Source organism: Homo sapiens, chromosome 1 (assembly GCF_000001405.40).
Source record: "Homo sapiens chromosome 1, GRCh38.p14 Primary Assembly".
Lineage (NCBI taxonomy): Eukaryota > Metazoa > Chordata > Mammalia > Primates > Hominidae > Homo > Homo sapiens.
The window spans coordinates 236732442-236754253 of NC_000001.11; the positions used below are offsets into that span (position 1 = coordinate 236732442).

The 21812-nt window shown below is 44.9% G+C and overlaps 1 protein-coding gene across 3 annotated transcripts in view; it reads left to right on the top strand.

Moving 5' to 3' along the window:
* Window positions 1-21812, top strand: part of ACTN2 (actinin alpha 2) — a 78133-nt gene that overhangs the window by 45943 nt on the left and 10378 nt on the right. The window contains exons 8-18 of one of the 3 annotated variants that reach the window (NR_184402.1): window positions 1992-2077; window positions 3194-3279; window positions 4117-4227; window positions 4681-4773; window positions 6861-7091; window positions 10455-10602; window positions 12185-12335; window positions 15226-15334; window positions 16683-16823; window positions 19029-19211; window positions 21506-21640. Coding sequence is in view for 2 of the 3 variants with exons in the window: in NM_001278343.2 (NP_001265272.1) it covers window positions 1992-2077; window positions 4681-4773; window positions 6861-7091; window positions 10455-10602; window positions 12185-12335; window positions 15226-15334; window positions 16683-16823; window positions 19029-19211; window positions 21506-21640 (1277 nt within the window). In the remaining variant the exon portion in view is untranslated. The remainder of the gene's footprint in view (window positions 1-1991; window positions 2078-3193; window positions 3280-4116; window positions 4228-4680; window positions 4774-6860; window positions 7092-10454; window positions 10603-12184; window positions 12336-15225; window positions 15335-16682; window positions 16824-19028; window positions 19212-21505; window positions 21641-21812) is intronic. The other 2 variants (NM_001278343.2, NM_001103.4) reach the window with 2 other exon arrangements.

Genomic DNA, 21812 nt, shown 5'->3' on the forward strand with positions numbered 1-21812 from the left:
TTTATTTTTTATTTTTTTTGAGACAGAGTCTCACTCCGTCGCCCAGGCTGGAGTGCAGTGGTGGGATCTGGGCTCACTGCAACCTCTGTCTCCCGGGTTCAAGAGATTCTCTTGCCTCAGCCTCCTGAGTAGCTGGGATTACAGGCATGCACCACCATGCCCAGCTACTTTTTGTTTTTTTAGTAGAGACAGGGTTTCACCATGTTGGCCAGGCTGGTCTCAAACTCCTGACCTCAGGTGATCCACCTACTTCGGCCTCCCAAAGTGCACGGATTACAGACATAAGCCACTGTGCCTGGCCTGTGAATATTTTCTTACAAGGATACCAGTCACATTGCATTAAGGGCCCATCCTACTCCAGCATGACCACATCCTCACTTGATTATATCTGCAAAGATCTAACTTCCAAATAAGGTTACATTCACAGGAGTGCTGGAAGTAAAGACTTCACTGTATCTTTTTGGGAAATGCAGTTCAACCCAAAACAGCAATCTTTCAATTAGAACTCTAATTTTGCTCATTAATTAATCATTTTAATCAAACATCTGTATTATTGGCTATTAATACTTGAATGCATTATTCGGAATTCTACTTATAGTTTCTCTAAAAGTCATTAGAGGGACAAAGTCTATAAAACACTGAAGTAGGAACATAGGAAATTTCCTTTCCTCTTTTTCCATCTGTCCTAAGCTAAGTTTATATTTGTATGCTCTTTCTTTTGACCTTTCATATGATAAATAACTATCTCGAGTTTTCCCACTTGGGTTAATAGCCAGGGTACTAAAGAGAGGAGAAAATAGGCAACAGTTAGTAAATTTTCCAGTTTATTCATGCCTCCCTAGTATCCTAAACTGGGGATGAGTTTCCTATTCACTCACGTAGAATTATTGGCAGGATCATCATCAGTGTTACTCTGGCGCTGCTAATATTCTCTTCTCAGTTCTTTGGTTTTTCCTTAGTCTCTGAGTCCTGATCTGGGCAGATGTCCATTCTGCTCATCCTTCCAGGCAGATGGGGTGTGTTAGCACTGTGTTCATTTCCTCCTCCTCATCTTCCATACTTTTCTTCGTCTTTCCCTTTTAATGGTTCAGAAGAATGCTCACACGCTGTATTATTATCTTTACAGAATAATTGCTCAAAAGAATCTTCCGGCAAACAGTTCTGAACTTGGCCACCTAGCGTGTAGAGCGTGCGGTGGCATCACTGCCTAACAGATTTAGCCACGCATTCCCTGTATTCCTGTATTCCCATGCCTTCTATCAGCAGTTTAAAATTTCTGCTGCTCTTTGATGGTAATGTCAGGTCCAGGTCTCCTCAGATCATGAGTGCCTTTTGGTAAATCCTTGCCTTCCCGTCTGCTGCCATGGACCTTAATTCCTGTCATTTGTGTTGGTCTCTGAACCCAAGTGGGGATTTTCAAGTGACTCATCGGCCCACTCACCCATGAACTGTTATTTGTAGCAAAAACTGGTGAAACTCTTCCTAAACTTATCTACTGTGCTTTTACAAGGTTGTAAAAATTGTTTCTCTATTTCCCTCCACAAATCTTTGTTTGAGGTGCAGACTAGGTTTAGAACTGTGGGTACATTTGCTCCATGAAAACCTGCAGAAGTGATCTTGTGGACCCCTGGGCCCTCCATGTGTGTAGTAATAGAAAGTCCTGGTGAGTGTGCTGGTGTGTGCACTCTGTTCAATTCCGAGGGCCTAATTCTGTCCGTGGAGGTGCCTTTCTTGCTAGGTTAGGGCTCTTCTGGGTTAGCCTTGGCGTTCTCTTTGGCAATTCCTTTGTTTCCTTTGACTATTCTCAAAAGTGCACAGAGAGTAATCCCTTTGCAGGTGTGACTTCTTTGATTTGAGCCAAAATGTTAGGAACATAAGTGTATGGGGGCGAAGGGGGAGGATTCCTGATTCCAACACCTCTGAGGAAGTGCTTAGCAGAAGCCTGCTGGTATTAGAACATCCACGCGGTTAACCTTCTTTTCTCCACACAGATTTAGTATACACTGCCAGACCCGATGAAAGAGCCATAATGACTTATGTTTCCTGTTACTATCATGCTTTTGCTGGTGCACAGAAGGTGAGGATGTAAACCATGAGTCACTGCTCACCCTTCACCTTCTGTGTCTTAATTTTTTTTCAATTGTTTTCCTCTTTTTTCCCCCCTCTCCTCCGAGTAAGGAGACTGTCTGGTTCCCAGGAGGCAGTTGTTTGTCTTTTTTAGTCTAGCTTTCTTTGAAACTTACTTTCTGTTCATGCAGTGGTATGCCGTTCATGTTTGTTTTCTGGAAGATTCTATAGTTACACAACCCCACATCCTTTCTGTTCATAGTCTCTGCAAACCCAATGACTAGGTTTCACCATAGGGAATTGTCAGGTATCTTTTTAACTTCACTCTGACCCATTGACTGACCCAAGTTTATGAACGAGGTTAAAAAGCAACTTACCGAAAAATGGTGTTGCCAAGATGGAGGAAGAAAGGATGTAGGTTTTCATGGTTCTGTTTTCTGTCTTCCTTTTGGCTGTTTCAGCAATTAGTAGAAATAGTAGCGAGTCTTAATAAGCACAAGCCATGTAGACCCTTCTCTTTAGATGTTTTGTTATTCTTGGTGATTTCTATAAGCGGTATGGTAAGTATGTATTGAAGTTATTAAAAGAGCTGCCCTCTCCAGTGAATTTCATCCTCACGCAAGGCACTTTACAGAGTAGAAATCCCCAACAGTTGTTTGGGTGGGGAAGGGGAAGTGGGAAGACAGATAGCCCATTGCAGCCCTGTGAATATTCCCCGCATCTTGCAAAGTGACCTGCGTTCCCCAGAGCAGAGGGGCCGGGTGCCCTGATGCGGTTGGAGGACCGGAGTCACGAGGAAGGGGTAACAAGCTCTGATCTGCAACAGACCAGGTTTCCATGTGAAAGCATTGAATGCACCTTTAAAAGCCCATCAAGGGGTGGGGGAGAAAACAAGCCCTCAGTTTGATCCTTAAAAAACATGCTGGCTCAAACCATCCTGTTCACGAATCATTTCGATACAATATGGCCTTCCTGAGGTTCGGGACCACGGGCCCATGAAACACAGAAATCTGGTCAGTGTAAACCAATTTGTTCTTCCCTCTGTTCTCCCTGGTTTCTCTCCTTCGTCTGTATGTGTGTGGTGTGTGTGTGTGCGCGCGTCCTGTGTTATTTTCTCCCCCTTCAGACATCGTGAACACCCCTAAACCCGATGAAAGAGCCATCATGACGTACGTCTCTTGCTTCTACCACGCTTTTGCGGGCGCGGAGCAGGTACTCAACACTTGTCCGTCCGGGCTGTTGTGTTACTCTCTGTTGGTTTTAGTTGTGTGTGCATACTTGAGTGTGTGTTTGTGCGCTTCACATCTTACCTTGGAATCTTTCTGAGTGTTTTCTAATAACCTCATATGGCAAGTTCTAAACTGTGAAAACTTTTTTTTAACAGCTTTAACTTTAGACAGTTCCTGAAATGTTTTTATGTGTTTTACTTTTAATGCATTTCCTTTATTTCATTAGTAAGTTGTGGAAAGTATTTGTGCTTTAGAAAAAAAATGCCATGAAAATTGAGCCACATGCATTGAATGGTAAAGGGGGAATGTGGCAAGGAGAAATGAATGCCTTTCCAACCCGGCCTTGTTCTCTGCTTAGAAATTGCCTTCACAGTTCCGTGATTTGGTCTAACATCCTTCAAGACTAATCTTATTTTAAGTGAAATAGTGGAGGGGATAACAGAGTTGGAACCTCAAAAAATTTCACATTTCTCAAGACAAATAGCCCAAGGGACCTTGAGGAAGAATGGCCCTCAGCTTTCTGCATATTCACCTGTTTCTGTTCCTCTCCTTGGAGGATCTTGATAGACTGCAGTGGGCGGAGTATGCATTATTTCAGTGACCGCTGTGAAGCCCATCACTGGGAAAGGATGCTAACAGGCTGATGAGGACTTTAAAGGAAAGGCCTGGGGACAGGCTGCGGGCCCAGAAGCCAGTTAGGCAAGCTTCTCTTGTTCCATCAGACAGTTATGGTTCAAGGCGCTTTGCCACTCCTGCCCCAAGTTCCTTTCCACGAAAGATGACAGAGAATTGTGTATTACCTCAATGACTTCTCATCTAGGTTAGACAAAGTCTTAAAGCACACTCAGCTCTGTGGAAGGATCCCCCTCCAGAAAGTTCTACATGTTCATATCAGGAGATGAGGAGGTCTTCAGTGAATTCAAGTGCAATGGTATATCTGGATTTTCCTGCCCCAGTTATTTTTGCCTTGATTTCCAAAGGCTAATGTTATTCAGGGAGTCTCCATCCCATCGTCATGAGATCAGTGGAGAGTTCAGGTGGACATTCAGGGACCCAAGATCTTGGTTTCCTGGACCCAAATATTTCTGTGACTAACTTGCTGGATGTTTACCGAGTTTGTGTTTTAGACTAATGCTCTCTCCCCGTTATTCCCTACAGTCTAATCAGCCTGCCGTGTAAGTCTGTGTGAAAACTGTAACAAAGGTGTGAAATGATTCATAGTACGCATAAGCCATGCCTTCAGTCTGACCGCACCCTAAGCTAGACTCTGCACCGTCTACAGCACGCCACCCTCCTCGTCCCCTCTCATCACCCACCTCGTTCCATGCTGTGTGTGCGCATTCCCGTCGACAGAGCCGTCCTGTTTACCTATTGTGTTTTACAGGCCGAGACAGCGGCTAACAGGATATGTAAGGTTCTTGCTGTGAATCAAGAGAATGAGAGGCTGATGGAAGAATATGAGAGGCTAGCGAGTGAGGTAAAGGAAACTGGTGACCTGCAGTTCTGTCCATCCTCACGCAGGGGCTGAGGCACAGAGGGTGAAAAAATACTCCGTGGGGGCATATATATATATATATATATTTTGCATTTTTCATCTCAGATAGGATGAAAGTAGGAAAATACACTTGATCTCTGAGGTTGTTCCTATTGTAGTAACCTAACTTTTGGCAAAAACATAATCCCCAGTGGTCTTTCCAACGATCCCAAAGCAGAAAGGTATAGTTTGCATGTCTGAAGATAGGAGAATGCGATTCTCTGCTCAGCTCTGCACCTCCAGGGTTGGACACCCCTAGACGACCTTGGGTTACTTGTTTTTTTTTTTTCCTGTTCACTGGCTACCAACATCACATAGGATGCACTCCATATGCAAAAGCCTCACTCCACATAGGGACCCAGTGTCAAAGGAACTGGCCCAGCCTGGTGTGCGGAGCTGGCTCGGGCTCGTGTGTCTGTATAAATACCCAGAGGAAATCTGGGGAAGACAGAGCCCTCCCTGCAGAATATTTGAGCATGAGTTTCTGTGGTGCCTTTCCAGAGCTCTTCAGCTAGACTCTTGGTTAGGACAGCAGTTTCCAGGTTGTTTTTCTTTTCGTTCTTGTTATAGCATACGTAGCGACTACGCAGTATCCTCGCTGCATCTGCACTGTTTTCCCAAATACAAGCATGGGCTGCATGAGGCCCCCAGCCACCTCCTCTCTAAATTGGACTCAAGTACAGTGACACATACTTCAGACCAAATAATTTTTGCCAAGCCTTATTTTTTGCTTTGTTTTGTTTTGTTTTGTTTTCTATGACAGAGTCTTGCTCTCTGGCCCAGGCTGGAGTGCAGTGGGGCAGTCCTGGCGCACTGCAACCTCCGCCCCCAGGGTTCAAGCAATTGTCCTGCCTCAGCCTCCCAAGTAGCTGGGATTACAGGCGTGCACCACCACACCCAGCTAATTTTGTATTTTTAGTAGAGATGGAGTTTCACCGTGGTAGCCTGGCTGGCCTTGAACTCCTGACCTCAGGTGATCCACCCGCCTTGGCCTCCCAAAGTGCCGGGATTATTGGCGTGAGCCACCGCACCTGGCCTTCTTTTTAATTTAGCTGATATTTGGTCTTTATTGGGAAAAGTATCAGGACATTTGGAATAAATGTTCCAATAAATAGTAGTGTAACTTTATGATACTGAGTTCATATCTTCATACTGCTGCTATAGAAAAATTAAGCTTGATGGCATTGTTGAATGGCAGTGACAGGGTTGCCAGACATGAAGCATGGCCAGTACTGAAGGCCAGAGGATCCTTAGGAATTCAATTCTTCCTTTTCTTACTGGGTCCTTCATTTATCCTCCTAAAACCCTTAGACTCTAGGTATATCACCATTTAAACTATTTTTCATTCGAATCTGCTGTCATTTTCCAAGTGCTCAGTAGGCATAAGTGTAAATGATGGGGTTTTCAGCAAGTCATTTCTAAGACCTAGGTAGTAATTCAAGAGGTGCATGTGTATTTTGTCCTTAGGGATTCACTACCACGTTCGCTTTTATCATGCAGATTTACTTAAAAGCTAGACGTCAAAATACACTTTGGCATTGAGTTAGGCCCAGGCTTACAATACAGTTGTGTAGTAAGTAATCTAATTAGATTTGAGCTTATTTTTTAAAAACACATTTTAAGTGAAATCCAGTTCTTTGCTGAATTTATTACACTACAGTTCTGCCATGTCAAGTATTTTGGGGTTGTTTTGTTTTGTTTTTTGTTTTTTTAATTTGAAAGCTCCATCCAGCATTTGTCTGCTAATGTCTGGTCCCTGAGTTTCTTGTAAACGTCACATTTTTGTAAGACACGACTTTACGTGCTCACTTTAAGTTTTCGACCTGTGTTTGGTATCGTTGGGGTGATCACTCGCGGCCATGGGCGGACACTGAACATCTCGTTCATGCCTCTGTGCGTAGAGGTACCACATCTCAGTGATTTTAGGAACATTCATCCTTTACAAATTATTGGATGCCTCATTTTTTTTTTTTAACTGGGGGAGGGGGCTTGCTGGTGTCTTCAGCAGTATTTTTGTGTTTGCGGAGCAGCTTTTGGAATGGATTCGTCGCACGATCCCCTGGCTGGAGAACCGGACTCCCGAGAAGACCATGCAAGCCATGCAGAAGAAGCTGGAGGACTTCCGGGATTACCGCCGGAAGCACAAGCCACCCAAGGTGCAGGAGAAATGCCAGCTGGAGATCAACTTCAACACGCTGCAGACCAAGCTGCGGATCAGCAACCGTCCTGCCTTCATGCCCTCCGAGGGCAAGATGGTGTCGGTGAGTAGCAAGCGCCAAGCCCTCCTGGCGCCACGGGAAGCCCTCCTTCTAGCCTAAAGGCGTTTGACCTGGGTCAGGAGGAGGCATTGACTTCTTGAATCTTTTTAGTTGTGTGAATATCATTTTGGCCCTGTAACCACTTTGTTCTTAATACTTTTCTCCCAACCATCATGTACTTCTTGAATCCAGCTGCCACTGGGGTACAGTGTCCCACAAAGAGCAGACCTTTAGGAAACGCTCGATGAACAGCCTCTTTCTCTCGTCCCTCCTCATGGCCTTGGCCCCTCATGTCCACCAGCATCTAGATCATGTGTCTTCTGTTCCCTGCTGTTACAAGCTACCCATCTCACCTTCGCAAAGTCTGAGTCCTCCATTTATCTCCCTCTCTTCCACATTGTCACTTTCTCCCTCTCCACCGAATCATGCACACCAGCATACAAAAGTGCTGTCAAATCTGCCAGTCACAAGCTAAAACCAAGGACTCCACATCTCCCACGAGCAACTTCTTGGCTCCCCTTCACAGCAAAACATCTAGAAGGAGTTCTTTGTGGTACCTATTTCCGCTCCCTCCCCACTCACTCACTCACTTTTTTTTTTTGGAGACGGAGTCTCACTCTGTCACCCAGGCTGCAGTGCAGTGGCGTGATCTCAGCTCACTGCAAGCTCCGCCTCCCGGGTTCAAGCAATTCTCCTGCCTCAGCCTCCTGAGTAGCTGGGATTACAGGTGCCCGCCACCACGCCCGGCTAATTTTTGTATTTTTAGTAGAGAAGGGGTTTCACCATGTTGGTCAGGCTGGTCTTGAACTCCTGACCTCAGGTGATCCGCCCGCCTCGGCCTCCCAAAGTGCTGGGATGACAGGCGTGAGCCACCACGCCCAGCCCCAACTCACTCACTTCTCTTACCCTTCAACTTGCAGTAAACTGGCTTCTGTCCCTGCTTCCACCAAGAATGTTCTTGCCAAAGTCAATGGCATTCATGTTGTCAGAGCAAGTCATTTTTATTTTTATTTTTATTTTTGAGACAGAGTCTCACTTTGTTGCCCAGGCTGGAGTGCAGTGGCACGATCTCGGCTCACTGCAACCTCTGCCTCCCGAGTTCAAGCAATTCTCCTGCCTCAGCTTCCCAGGTAGCTGGGATTACTGGTGCCCGCCACCACGGCCAGCTAATTTTTGTAATTTTAGTAGAGGTGGGGTTTCACCATATTGGCCAGGCTGGTCTCGAACTCCTGACCTTGTGATCCACCCACCTCGGCCTCCCAAAGTGCTGGGATCATTTTTATTTTTACATTCTCAGTTTTTTTGGCCCAGCTGCCCATTTCCCCATTCTTGAAGTTCTTCCTACTTTGGCCCTCCTGTTTCTTCCTCCTTCACCAGCGAGGCCTTCTCCATCTCTGTTCAAGGCCTTGCCTCCTCCCTCTACCTGTAGATGTTGGTGATTCTCAGGCTTGGTGCTGAGCCCTCTTCATCTTTATACCCTCCAGGTGATCTCATCCAGGCCCATGGCTTGTTTTTTCTTTTTCCTTTTTTTTAAAAACATGGTCATGCTCTGTCACCCAGATTGGAGTGCAGTGGCACAATCACAGCTCACTGCAGCCTTAATCTCCTGGGCTCAAGTGATCCTCCCACCTCAACATCCTGAGTAGCTGGGACTACACGCACATCCCACCATGCCTGGCTAATTATTTCTTTGCAGAGATGGGGTCTTGCTGTGTTGCCAGGGGCGGCCCAAACTCCTGGGCTCAAGCGATCCTCCCACCTCAGCCTCCCAAAGTGCTGGGATTATAGGCATGAGCGAGCATGCCTGGGCGGGCCCATGGTTTTAATTGCCACCTAAATGCCAATACCTCTCAAATTTTACATTTCCAGCTCTGACTTTTCCCCAAATTCCAGGCCAGTATATCCACCTGGATATATTATAGCATATTAAACTGAACATATCCAAAAGAGTTCCTCCCGGTTTCCTCGATCCTAGTAAATTCTATCACTGTCCTCTAAGTTGCCAACCCCCAAACCCAGGTTTCATCCTTGATTCTTCCCTTTCTGTCACTTTCTTACATCCAGTTCTTCAGCCAGTCCCATTGGCTCTTCTTCCAGAATACATCGTAAGTAAATGCTCTTAATCCCCTTCTCTTTACCTCCACGGCCACTGGCCTATCCTAAGCCACCATTCTCTCTCCTTGGACCCTGCAAGTAACTGCTGACCGGTTCTTCTTTTTCTTTTGCCCCTTAAAATTCATCCCGCCTACATCAGCCTCTGTCGTCTTTTAAAAATGTGAATCAGATCTCATCTCCTTTCTTCTCAAAACCCTCCAGTGACTCCCCAAAGTATTGAGAGTAAAATCCATTTTCATTATCCTGGCCTATAAGGGCCTGCATGCTTGCCAAACGCATCTCTCCCTCTGCCCTGAGGCACTCCACCGCTGCCACACCCCCTGCCTGCCGTCCTTCCCGCACGCACAGCACATCCCCTCTTGGGCGTTCGAGTTTTTTCCCCTTGCCCAGGAGCCCTCGTTTCCTACTTCCTCACATCACTGTCTTTTTCTGTCATTGAGGACTCAGCTCAAATGCCCCCTCCTCGGAGGGGTCTTCTGTAAGTAACCTGCCACAGGGACCACCCTGACGGGCAGGGCTGGCAGTATCCCTTGACCCTGCTTTTTTTTTCCCATACGGCATTTTGTTTATCGCTTTCCGAAATGAACTTGCTTAAGTACTTAATGACTGTCTCTCTCCCCCAACCACCATGGAAGCTGCATGGGAACTTTAGAGGTGTTGTTTACCCTTACAGAGTTTCTCACTAGTGCCTGGTACATGCTAGATGCCCAGTAATTAGTTGTTGATGGCTGGCTGGCTGAACAATTCACCCCAGTCACTGAATAAGAGTTGTTTTGGAAGCCAGGTGTGGTGGCACATGCCTGTAATCCCGGCTACAGGGGAGGCCGAGGTGGGAGGATTGCCAGAGCCCAAGAGTTAGAGAACAGCAACATAGCGAGACTCCATTTCTTTAAAAAAAAACAAAACAATAATCATAATAAAAGGGTTGTTTTGAACTGAGTCATCTTGAGGCTTTATCTTCTTGTAGCCAGAAATTGTCAGCCCTCTACATCTTTGTCCACATCTGGAGAAGTGTCAGGATCGCTGATAACAACTATGTTAGTCTTAAAAGATCCCAGTGAATTGTAATTAAGACATTTGGAAGCCAAATAATTGAATGGTTATTGAGGTGGGGGGTAAGGAAGGAAAAGAAAACAAAAGGAAAACACCATCAAAATGTAGTGGAGGGATTTATAGAAGAAGCCTGAGAGGCCAGAATGTAACGAAGGTGCTTGTTACACATTTGCTTCCCTTGGCTTCCAACCATCCCAGGATATTGCTGGTGCCTGGCAGAGGCTGGAGCAGGCTGAGAAGGGTTACGAGGAGTGGTTGCTCAATGAGATTCGGAGACTGGAGCGCTTGGAACACCTGGCTGAGAAGTTCAGGCAGAAGGCCTCAACGCACGAGACTTGGGCTTATGGTAAGTAGACAGGAGTCAGATTGGATTTTTGAAAAACCAGAGTTGAGCCATGCCCAGAGCCATGATGCATCCTTACTAACTCTGTGCCTAATGTCTGTGACACTAAAGGTAGGTGTCGTCACCTTTCTCTGCTCTTGTCTCAGTGCCAAATTTATTTAAGAGGTAGGCATGAAAATTTAGTTTCTAATCACGCAGGTAATCTATTTCTTCCCAAAATGGCACCCAAAATGTGTTCTTTACATACCTACCTACATAAGGCCTGGCCTCCTTCCATGTTTTCTGTTTGATTCCACAAGTATCCACTCATTCCCTAACTGGTAGTCAGATAGCCCTGGGCCAACCACTAGCCTCTGCCAGTAGAATATATATTAAATGCCACAGAGCAACATAATATCCTATGTAGAAAATCTGGGAGGGAGGATGCAAGATATCATGTATAATCTAACTTTCTTATTTCACTTGCATTCATCTACTTTTTTCAGGCCTTACACACATGCCGGTTTCCATAGACATAAGAATATGGCCCTTTTTTTTTTTTTTTAGCTGTCTCCTGGACTAAATAGTCCTTCTTGCCAAGGCAGAAGAATAAAGCATTTTCCCCATCACATAATAATCTGTTTTGAGATTGGGGAGATTTTTCCTCATTCTATGGTTTTTGCTTTTATTGTTGCTTGATTTTTAATATTTCATAGACAGGTAGTTACAAGCAAGGAAGCTGGAGCCAGGTGGGTTGGAGGCACAGTTCTGATGCATAGCAGCTGTGTGCCCCGGATGAATTCTTAATCTAGCAGGGCTTCAGTGTCCTCTTCGAAATGGGAATCACCGTAAGACCTCCCTCATAGGGTTTCTATGAAGATTTAATGAGTTCGTATTTAGAAAGCATTTAGAGTAGCGTCTAGTACACAGTAAGTGGTACATCGTCATCATTAAATACATGAACATTTGCTTTCCACTTCCAATTTCATAGAATTCTTAAAGGTCATTAGCCAGGGGATAAATGTGGATCCACTCGTGACCACAGCAGTTACTGGATTTAAGAAATATTTATATGGGAAAATGTAAGTGGAGGGTCAGAGAGGAAAATTTCTAATATTTATTATCAGGAAAAACAAAGCACAGGCTCCATTTAAGCACACAGAGTATAGCTTTCAAACAAAAGGAACTAGGGTGGGGTAGGACTCATGGATAGACAAATGGAGCACCGGGGTTTTATCTAAGCATCCCTGGTAGCTCTTGGGAGTGAATAATTAGTAACTTAACTGAGGATCATGCAGGAATCAGATACTTGTGACTTAGAATGATGAAGACTACAAATTGGTTTTTTTCTAAAAACGCACTCAGCATGCTCTCCTTTCCCCTTTATTTGGAGACACGAGCTTTCAAAACTGAGAAGGGGCTGGGGCATCCTCAGCAGGTAACAGCCTGAATTCCATCACAACCCTGGCCTGCATCTTCAGTCCTGCCCCTCTCTGTCCCCTTCTCTTGGTTCTTTGGAATCTCACCGCTCCCTGAGAATGTGGCTGGCATGAGGAAGCCGCTGTGCCCTCAGCATATTCATACTTTCTTGCTACCACCTTTGCAGGCAAAGAGCAGATCTTGCTGCAGAAGGATTACGAGTCGGCGTCGCTGACAGAGGTGCGGGCTCTGCTGCGGAAGCACGAGGCGTTCGAGAGCGACCTGGCAGCGCACCAGGACCGCGTGGAGCAGATCGCAGCCATCGCGCAGGAGCTCAAGTATGTGCAGATGCCCTCCGTCCTCCCGGGAGCCCCTGGGATTCCACAGAGAGGGGAGAGAAAGGCCTGCCTTGCCTTTCCTGACTAAACGCAGAGGGAACCACGCTGGAGGCACTCTGTGCAGGGATTCTCCTTGTTTCTTTAAATGTAGAAACAGATTTTGGTTCTTAGATTGTGGTAGAATCCCTATGTCCTACCATCCAGCAGCACCCCGGCCCTCAGCACAGGCAGCTCCGCTTCCAGCAAGATGAGAAATAAGTCTGGAATATTGGGGCCCAGAAAGCTATGGGAAGGCGGCCTCACCCAGGCCAGGTGCAAGAAGCAGAATATAGCCTGTCCTGAAATCAACATAAAACCAAGCAAAACAGAGGGCACTGGCCGGGCGCGGTGGCTCACGCCTGTAATCCCAGCACTTTGGGAGGCTGAGGCGGGCGAATCATGAGGTCAGGAGATCGAGACCATCCTGGCTAACACGGTGAAACCCCGTCTCTACTAAAAATGCAAAAAATTAGCCGGGCCTGGTGGCGGGTGCCTGTAGTCCCAGCTGCTCGGGAGGCTGAGGCAGGAGAATGGTGTGAACCCAGGAGGCGGAGCTTGCAGTGAGCCGAGATCGCGCCACTGCACTCCAGCCTGGGCGACAGAGCGGGACTCCGTCTCAAAAAAACAAAAAACAAAACAAAATAAAACAAAAAAGTGGGCACTGCCTCACGTGTGCAGAAGAGACGTCAGGACCCCACTTTGCTTTATCATCCCCTAAGTGCTGTTTCACTTTCATGCGTTTGGTTTTATGGGAAGAACTGACACGACATTTGAGCCTAGGCTGGATTTGGCACGGAGTGAATGTTCTCAGTTCCCGCTCTGTGTAGTGTGAGCCCTGGGGTGCGGCTGCCCTCAGGGAGAAGAGCCTCCATGCCGTGTTTCTGAGCTTTCTTCAGGTCCTTTTCCCTTGTAATAAAGACAACATTTTATTTCCTACTCCTTTCCCCACCATTATAATCACTGATACATCTGTAGAATGTTTAGAGCCTGTCACATAATGGTAACTTCAAAAATTAAATAATAAAAATTTATTTCAATATATTACGTTTTAAAACTGCCACGTTCTGGCTGGGCACAGTGGCTCACGCCTGTAACCCCAGCACTTTGGGAGGCTGAGGTGGGCTGATCACGAGGTCAGGAGATCAAGACCATCCTGGCTAACACGGTGAAACCCCGTATCTACTAAAAATACAAAAAAAAATTAGCCAGGCATGGTGGCGGGCACCTGTAGTCCCAACTACTCAGGAGGCTGAGGCAGGAGAATGGTGTGAACCCGGGAGGCGGAACTTGCAGTGAGCCGAGATCAGGCCACTGCACTCCAGCCTGGGCGACAGAGCAAGACTCCATCTCAAAAAAAAAAAAAAAAAAGAAAGAAAAAAAAAAAGAAAACGAACTTAAGCTTTAAGAAAATGGATTTGGTAGGGTAGGAGGGGACTTTTCAAAGTTGTCTAATCCTGGACTGTTTTTGAAGCAGCCTCCTGAAGATGTCTTTAAACTTCCATGGTTCTTGATTTATATCTGAATGAAAAAGGTGATTAAGTTTTGTACAGGATTCAAACTTGTTATCCCTGGAGGTACTGGGTTAAGCTTCTAGTTAAGAATTTGCTTTAGGTTGGGTGCAGTGGCTTATACCTGTAATCCTTGTACTTTGGGAGGCTGAGGAGGTAGGACTGCTTGAGACCAGGAGTTCGAGACCAGCCTGGCAACACAGCAAGACTCCATCTCTAAAAAATTTTTGAAAAGAGCCGGGTGTAGTGGCACATGCCTGTAGTCCCAGCTACTTGGGAGCCTAAGACAGGAGGATCACTTGAGCCTAAGAGTCTGAGGCTGTAATAACGTATGATCACCCCCACTGCACTCCAGCTTGGATGACAAAGCAAGACCCTGTCTCAAAAAAAAAAAAAAAATTGCTTCAGTGGTGTGCACAGAAAGACCCCAGGTAGAATGCATAGATGGATCTGGCAAGGAAAAGTAAGGATTTAGTGAGAAATCATTTTGCCCTTGCTTGTCACTCTAGTGGCATTAGATGAGTCAGAACCTTTCTGTCTCTAAGTGGAAGGGCTCAGTTCGGCCCCATTTCAGAAATCCCGCTATGTTAGATAAAGTCATGGTGCCATTCTGGACCTGATACTCTACCCAGTGGTGAGGCCAAGTGCCCTTCTAGGGAAGCCAAGGACACAATGTGGCGCAGGCTGACTCTTCCCTCCCCAGTCACTGTGGCTGCATCCTGGCCCACAGGACTGTCCTCCAGGTCAGAGAGTGATGTCTTCCGACCTTCACTCATAGGGACATTGCCACTTAGAAATAATGCTCTCTGGGGGCCTCTCCAAGAAAAGGAAGGGGAAATAAATTGAGCCTGCGGCATTAAGAAGACAACGGTTCTCTCTGTTTAGAAATCTGTTGGCCAGCGAAAGTTTTATGAATTCTTCTTGTGATTTATCTGAGAGGAGTGATGTTTACAGTGATGACAGTTAACAAAACCCTGAAATACCATCCCAGTTCTCTATCAGATTTTTATTTTTTATTTCTTTTATGTGTATAAATGTAGGTGGGGTGGGGCACAAGTGCAGTTTTGCTACATGTGGCCAAGTCAGGGTTTTTAGGGTAGACATCACCCAAATAACATACATTGTATGAAATCACACTAAGTAATTTTTCATCATCCACCTACCCTTCCACCCCCTCACCCTTCTGAGCCTCCACTGTCTATCAGCCCACTCTCTATGTCCATGTGGATACATTTCAGATGTTTTTGTTTTTAAACTTCCCTGTTATTTTTCTTTTTTAGCCCATGTTCATTTTCTCTCATCATCTGGGAAAGTTAATCTTTATTTATTTTCACTTTTAATAGTGAACTGGACTATCACGACGCTGTGAATGTCAATGATCGGTGCCAGAAAATTTGTGACCAGTGGGACCGACTGGGAACGCTTACTCAGAAGAGGAGAGAAGCCCTAGAGGTGAAGTATTGAAGCCACTTGTTGACATGAAATCTTTTAATAGAAGCTCTTTAATTAAATCACTGGTATTCATTGTGTGTTTCTCTGTGGCATGAAACAGGTTGCCTAGTGAAAGGAACCTCTAAAGAAAACATGAAAAGTGGAAGAAAGAGGGAAATGGGAAGTTGGGAGCTTTGTGCTGTAATTTATCCAGACAGCAGCGAAGTATATTTTTCAATTTTAAAAAATCCAGGGGTGATGAGATTACGGCATAAATCTACTTTGTATCTGGTAGTAACAGTACGTTTCCAAAAGTCCTTCTACCTGAGTAAATTGAGCTGTGAGTGAGTCGGGAAATCAGAGATGTGCAAAGGGAAGATGGAACCAAGTGTTGAAGTGAGTACATTGATAGGAAACAGAATTGGGACGAATTTGGCCTTATTTAAGTGTAAGACTAAGTGTAAGACACAGTGGGTATCTTGTGTTTAACTGCCCCTAATTGTCTTTAACCATGGAAGACATCTCCCACGTGAGAGAAACCAGCAGTTTACCAGTTCCCTGAGTCTTTTCTGCTTGACTCTGATGATACTTTTGAGATAACCCAATATCAAGCTTCCCAAATGCCAAATGGCTGTGACATATCTGCTTAAAGAAAGAGATGTCAAGAGAAAGACCAGACATGTAACAGAGACAGCACAAAACATTTTAGAACAGGAGGGAAAAATGAACCTAATTATGGAAGGCTTAAAGCTACGGAGATGCCTTCCCCTTCTGCCCCCACTTGTCTGCCATGGGAAACAAGCGCAGGATCATCCTGTTGCTTGAAATCTTGTGCTTTCATATGCCCAGAAAGGCAAGAGGTGATCTGTGTTAAATCCTGAATGAGGATTTGAGAGCATGAACCTGCAGTTCCTTCTCTCTCCATTAGGTAGGTGACTTTGGGAAAGGCACACAACTTCTCTGCACATGTTGACTCTAAAACGTGGAAGATGCCCTGCATTTTCTGTTAATCTGGCACAGTTAGGGAATCAGGTCCTCTTATAAAGTCCTGCTTTAGCTGAAAGCAAGTTACAGTATGCCGTATGTGGAGTCTCAGTTTTCAGAAAAGTAGCATGTAGTGAAGTACTTTAGACACTTTAAAAATGAGGCTGCTCTGGATGTTATGAAATCCTTCTTTGATTCAGAAGGCACCTCAGAGACCTGCAGGGCTCAGCCTAATTGTTTGAGCATCGGGTAATCTTTTGTAGACACATGCTAATACGATTAACAGAATATCAGAGAATAGTCTGTTCTTATGGAACGCCTACTTACACTTTCAGTGAATTTTTTAATTAGTCTATGATAATGCTTGCTTCTCTTTATTCTTTAGAGAATGGAGAAATTGCTAGAAACCATTGATCAGCTTCACCTGGAGTTTGCCAAGAGGGCTGCTCCTTTCAACAATTGGATGGAGGGCGCTATGGAGGATCTGCAAGATATGTTCATTGTCCACAGCATTGAGGAGATCCAGGTAATGGAACCGCAACTCTGTATGCCCTATGCATTAGAAGTGAGTTGTCATTTAAACTTAAGAGTCCTGTTATTTGGTTTCTTGTTTTCTTGCTTTAAAAAAAAATTAACAAATGTGGCTAGAAAGCCCAAATTACCCTTGAACCTTAGCTTAAAAATGTGTTTAGTACTCTGTGTTGCAAACCCGTTAAAATCAATCAAGTAATGGTGAATGTGTCTCAGAAGCTCTGTTCTTTAAAAAAGAATGCTGAGGCTGGGCGCAGTGGTTCATGCTTATAATTCCAGCACTTGGGGAGGCTGAGGCGGGTGGATTGCTTGAGCTCAGGTGTTCGAGACCAGCCTGGCCAATGTGGCAAAACCCCGTCTCTACAAAAAATACAAAAAAAAATTAGCTGGGTGTGGTGGTGCACGCCTGGAGTCCCAGCTACTGGGAAGGCTGAGGTGGGAGGATCGCTTGAGCCTGGGAGGCAGAGGTTGCAGTGAGCCAAGATCACGCCATTGGACTCCATCCTGGGTAACAGAGTGAGACCCTGTCTCAACAACAACAACAACAACAACGACAACTACAACTACAACAACTGCTGCATCATTGAGCAAAATAAACATATGTGCTCTTGGAGTTATTCATGAAAAAGTTGTAAGTGTACTAGCTGCTGAGTTAACTACTTTGCAAACGTGTGCATATTACTGTTTATTTAGATCTACAGAGTTTTTTGCCAGATTGTAAACCATAAGAAGCCACAAATCAGCACCTACCTTTTGCCTACTGCCAATCTAAAATGTTCTGCTTATAGTTTTTTCTGGAACTTCAGAACTATAAACAAAGCTTCTAAGTGGTGACGTTAGGGAGGAAAGTTAATCTCGGTTAGCCAGGACATAATTTATTTAGAGAATTTGTACAGTGAATTTGATGTATAATAGAATAAAAAGAGAAAATACTTTTTACTCTTTTTTTTCTGTAAAATAGATATGTCATCAAAAAGAATCCAAGTAGAAAGGAAATCCTGAAGGTTGGGATTTGAAACCACACCTCCCTACCAGGAGCCGTCTAGAAGGGTTTGCACCTGCACGCCAGGGGAAAGAAAGTGCTTCCATGAACATTGGAGTTGCCTTTTGAAAGAGGCTCCGATGGTGTTTCCTGCGTGCACTCTTAAGCACAGGCCAACAGTCTAAAATCGTTTATTTTTGGAATAAGTGAGACCTCTAAGCACGCCTTGGAAGTCACACTCTTTGTCAAAGCTCTGTTGGCAGCTGACCTGTTGCTGCACCTAAAGAGAACAGTAGCTTCACACTCAAAGGTGCTCCACGAGGCAGTGAGGTCTTTGAGCCGCTGAATTTGTGGGGCTGCTCATGTTCAGGTCAAAGAATAGGTTTGATAAATGGCTCTTTAGAGAGCCTTCTGGGAAGAGTTGGTTTCTGTGACCTTTTCTTTTTGAGGAATAGGGATGTACTTCCTGGTTTTCTTTAGATATAATGGTAGCAAATGTTAGATGCTTTTGTAGGACTGCAAAGGTAACACTGGCCATTAGAAAGGGCATCTAAGGGCTGAGCATGGTGGCTCATACCTGTAATCCCAACACTTTGGGAGGCCAGGCGGGGAGGATCACTTGAGGCCAGGAGTTTGAGACCAACCTGGGCAACATAATGAGACCCTGTCTCTGCAAAAGATAAAAAAATTAGCCAGGCATCATGATGTATGCCCTATAGTCCCAGCTACTCAGGAGACTGAGGCAGGAGGATTACTTGAGCCCAAGTGTTCAAGGCTGCAGTGAGCCATGATTGCACCACTGCACTCCAGCCTGAGTGACCTAGCGAGACCCTGTCTCAAAAAAAAAAAAAAAAAAAAAAAAAAGGAAGTGCCGCTAAGTTAAGTTCTGCTCGTCAGCAGAAAATAAGAAAGACCTAAACAATAGCTGGTGATCAAAATCAGTGAAAGGAAAACTGATTAAAAAAAATTATTTTTTAAAAGACTCTACATGAATAGCCACCAATATTATTAATAGTCATCATGACATCCTTTTTCCATTTTCCAGGAACTTGACTTCTGTGTACCTAAAGAGTTTTTTCTAAAGCATTCAGAATGTGTTTTTCTCCAGAGACTCTTGCAATCATCAAGGCATTTACTTGTGTGCGGAAAGGAATATCAAAGCCTTTGAAATTAACACTCAAGCCACATTGTTTTTCTCCACTTGTGTCTCGGGTGTAGAGTCTGATCACTGCGCATGAGCAGTTCAAGGCCACGCTGCCCGAGGCGGACGGAGAGCGGCAGTCCATCATGGCCATCCAGAACGAGGTGGAGAAGGTGATTCAGAGCTACAACATCAGAATCAGCTCAAGCAACCCGTACAGCACTGTCACCATGGATGAGCTCCGGACCAAGTGGGACAAGGTGGGTGGCTGAGGGCCTGGTGTGGGACCAGGGGGCATTCTTGAAGCTGACGTCGAAGGAGGAAGTTAACGCCTCGGGGACTTAGGGTGACGGCCTCATTTTGCATCATGATCAGGATTTTCCTTTATCCCAAATTTCACAGGCAAAACGTGACAAACTCTTAAGGACCCTTCAGCAGCGTCTGCAGTTTGTGGGGAAAGAAAGCAGAGATTATTTTACTTAAGGAAAATCTTATAAATGTTGACACAACCACTGTAGGTTATGATCCTAATACCATAAAGGAAATGGTTTTTAAAGCCCCAACTGGAAATTTGGTTAAAAACTTGGTTACAAGTACTTACAGTACTTTTTAAAAGAATTTTTAGAATATGATATAGACATGTCCCAGATGTGTATGAATTTTAAATGCAGAAAAATTGCTTAGAAAACGACATCTTGGGAATGAAAGTATTCTTACTAACTTGCAGCCTTTTAAATTTGGGGCAACTATCGACAAATGTAATTATGGTCCAAATGGGATAATTTGAGCCCTTTTGTCTGATTTTTAAGATTGGGACATTTCTTTTCATGGTTGAAATTATAGCACAATTAGTCATCTCAGTATGCCAATCATAGTCTTTGAGGAATAAGTCCACCACGTGGGTCTGAAGTGGCTTTTACTATAAAAACACACGTGCTGCAAGTTAGTTATAAACAGCGCAAAAGACAAAAACAGGTATGAGGAAAAGGAAAGTATTTATCCGAGAAACAGTAGTTAATTAGTGCATCTGAGCTTTAAATTTAGCTCTGGTCTTCCTAACGAACACCCAAAGAGAGACAGGAAACAAACTGATTTAAGTAGTTTTCTTGCGGGGGTGGGGGCGGGGGGAGGAAATATATCATTTTTTATTTTTCGTTTTTATTATGTTTATTTTTTTGAGACAGAGTCTCACTCTGTTGCCCAGGCTAGAGTGCAGAGGCAAAATCTCGGCTCATTGCAACCTCTTCCTCGTGGGTTCAAGTGATTTTCCTGTCTCAGCCTCCCTAATAGCTGGGATTACAGGTGCCCGCCACCACGCCTGGCTAATTTTTTATATTTTTGATAGAGATGAGGTTTCACTATGTTGGCCAGGCTGGTCTCAAACTCCTGACGTCAGGTGATCCACCCACCTCAGCCTCCCAAAGTGCTGGGATTACAGGTGTGAGCCGTCACGCCTGGGCAGAAATATATCATTTTTTAAAGTGAGACAAACTTTTCTCCCATCAGTAAGTTATAAAGCAAATGGATTTTTGTTAAAGAAAACAAAAAGACAATAATAATGCTTTTAGTAGCAGTTTTGCAGATGACACAAAGAAAGATTTTTGAAGTAGTTTTTTCTCTTCCATTGATTGAAAGAGAATGGAGGCATAGCATTAAAATGTAACTCACAAATGGAACAGAAAGCAGGTAGACAGGTGTATACTCTTCTGTGGGCCAACAAGGTATAAGAATCGAACTCATGAACCCAGCATGGGCTCTTCACATTTTGGTGTCATGAACCCGTCTGGCAGTCTGGGGAAGCCTGTGGATTCCTTCTGATAATAATGTTTGTAAACTTATAAAAATATTTAATATTACCAAGGAAACAAATTATATTGAAATGTAGTTATTCAAATATCTTTAAAGTTATTGTCATGTATATGCTTCTTTACTAACACGTTTAAAACCAAGAACTAACAGCAGGTCCAATAATTTTGGAGTAGGGCTGAGTGTACGTGATATTTGTTGCAAGAGGCAGGCATAACCGTAACGTTAGTATGGAATGTCTATGATTTATGCTGTGATAAGGTCACAGGGACTACTAAATACTGCTGCAGATTTGCTGTCCACGTCATTCATAAACAAAGGGAGTGCTACATTTTAATCCGAGATGGTGAAAATAAACACGCCAGTGTTCCCTGCATCCAAGTTCACAAATCCTCTGTACTCTGGACCTGGCCCTGACTTAGTTGTGCAGCAGGCCTAGAGCCTCTGGCTGGAGGAGAATGGTCGCTGCTCCTAATGCAGGCTCTTAAATACCCTCCAGCTCATCCTGTCTTTCAGCAGGCACTTGGTGGCACTAGATGGCAGTCAAAGCTAAATCAAGCTCATCCTGTAGTCCCTAGACTAGGGACTCCTCCTCCCTATCCTCCCTCTTCCTTCCCCCTACACCCTCCTCCCTTCGTTTCTCCTTCTCCACTCCCACCCCCACCCCTTGGACTATTCCCGCATTCTGTGGTTGTTCCTATGAGACCACAGCTGGCCTCTAACCCTTGTTGTCCTTGGGCCCTGACAGGTGAAGCAACTCGTGCCCATCCGCGATCAATCCCTGCAGGAGGAGCTGGCTCGCCAGCATGCTAACGAGCGTCTGAGGCGCCAGTTTGCTGCCCAAGCCAATGCCATTGGGCCCTGGATCCAGAACAAGATGGAGGTAAGCCAGCGCCCTCCCAGGCGCTGTTCACAAGCCTTGCGATAAGTCCCTTTAGCCACGCAGCAGTGACACCGCACATGCTGTGGTTTCCAGCCACCCACTCAGTCAGGTGGGAGCACCGTTCTGTTATCACCCCGGCTTTATCTTTCAGCCCCTGGCTGTTGGGGACAGT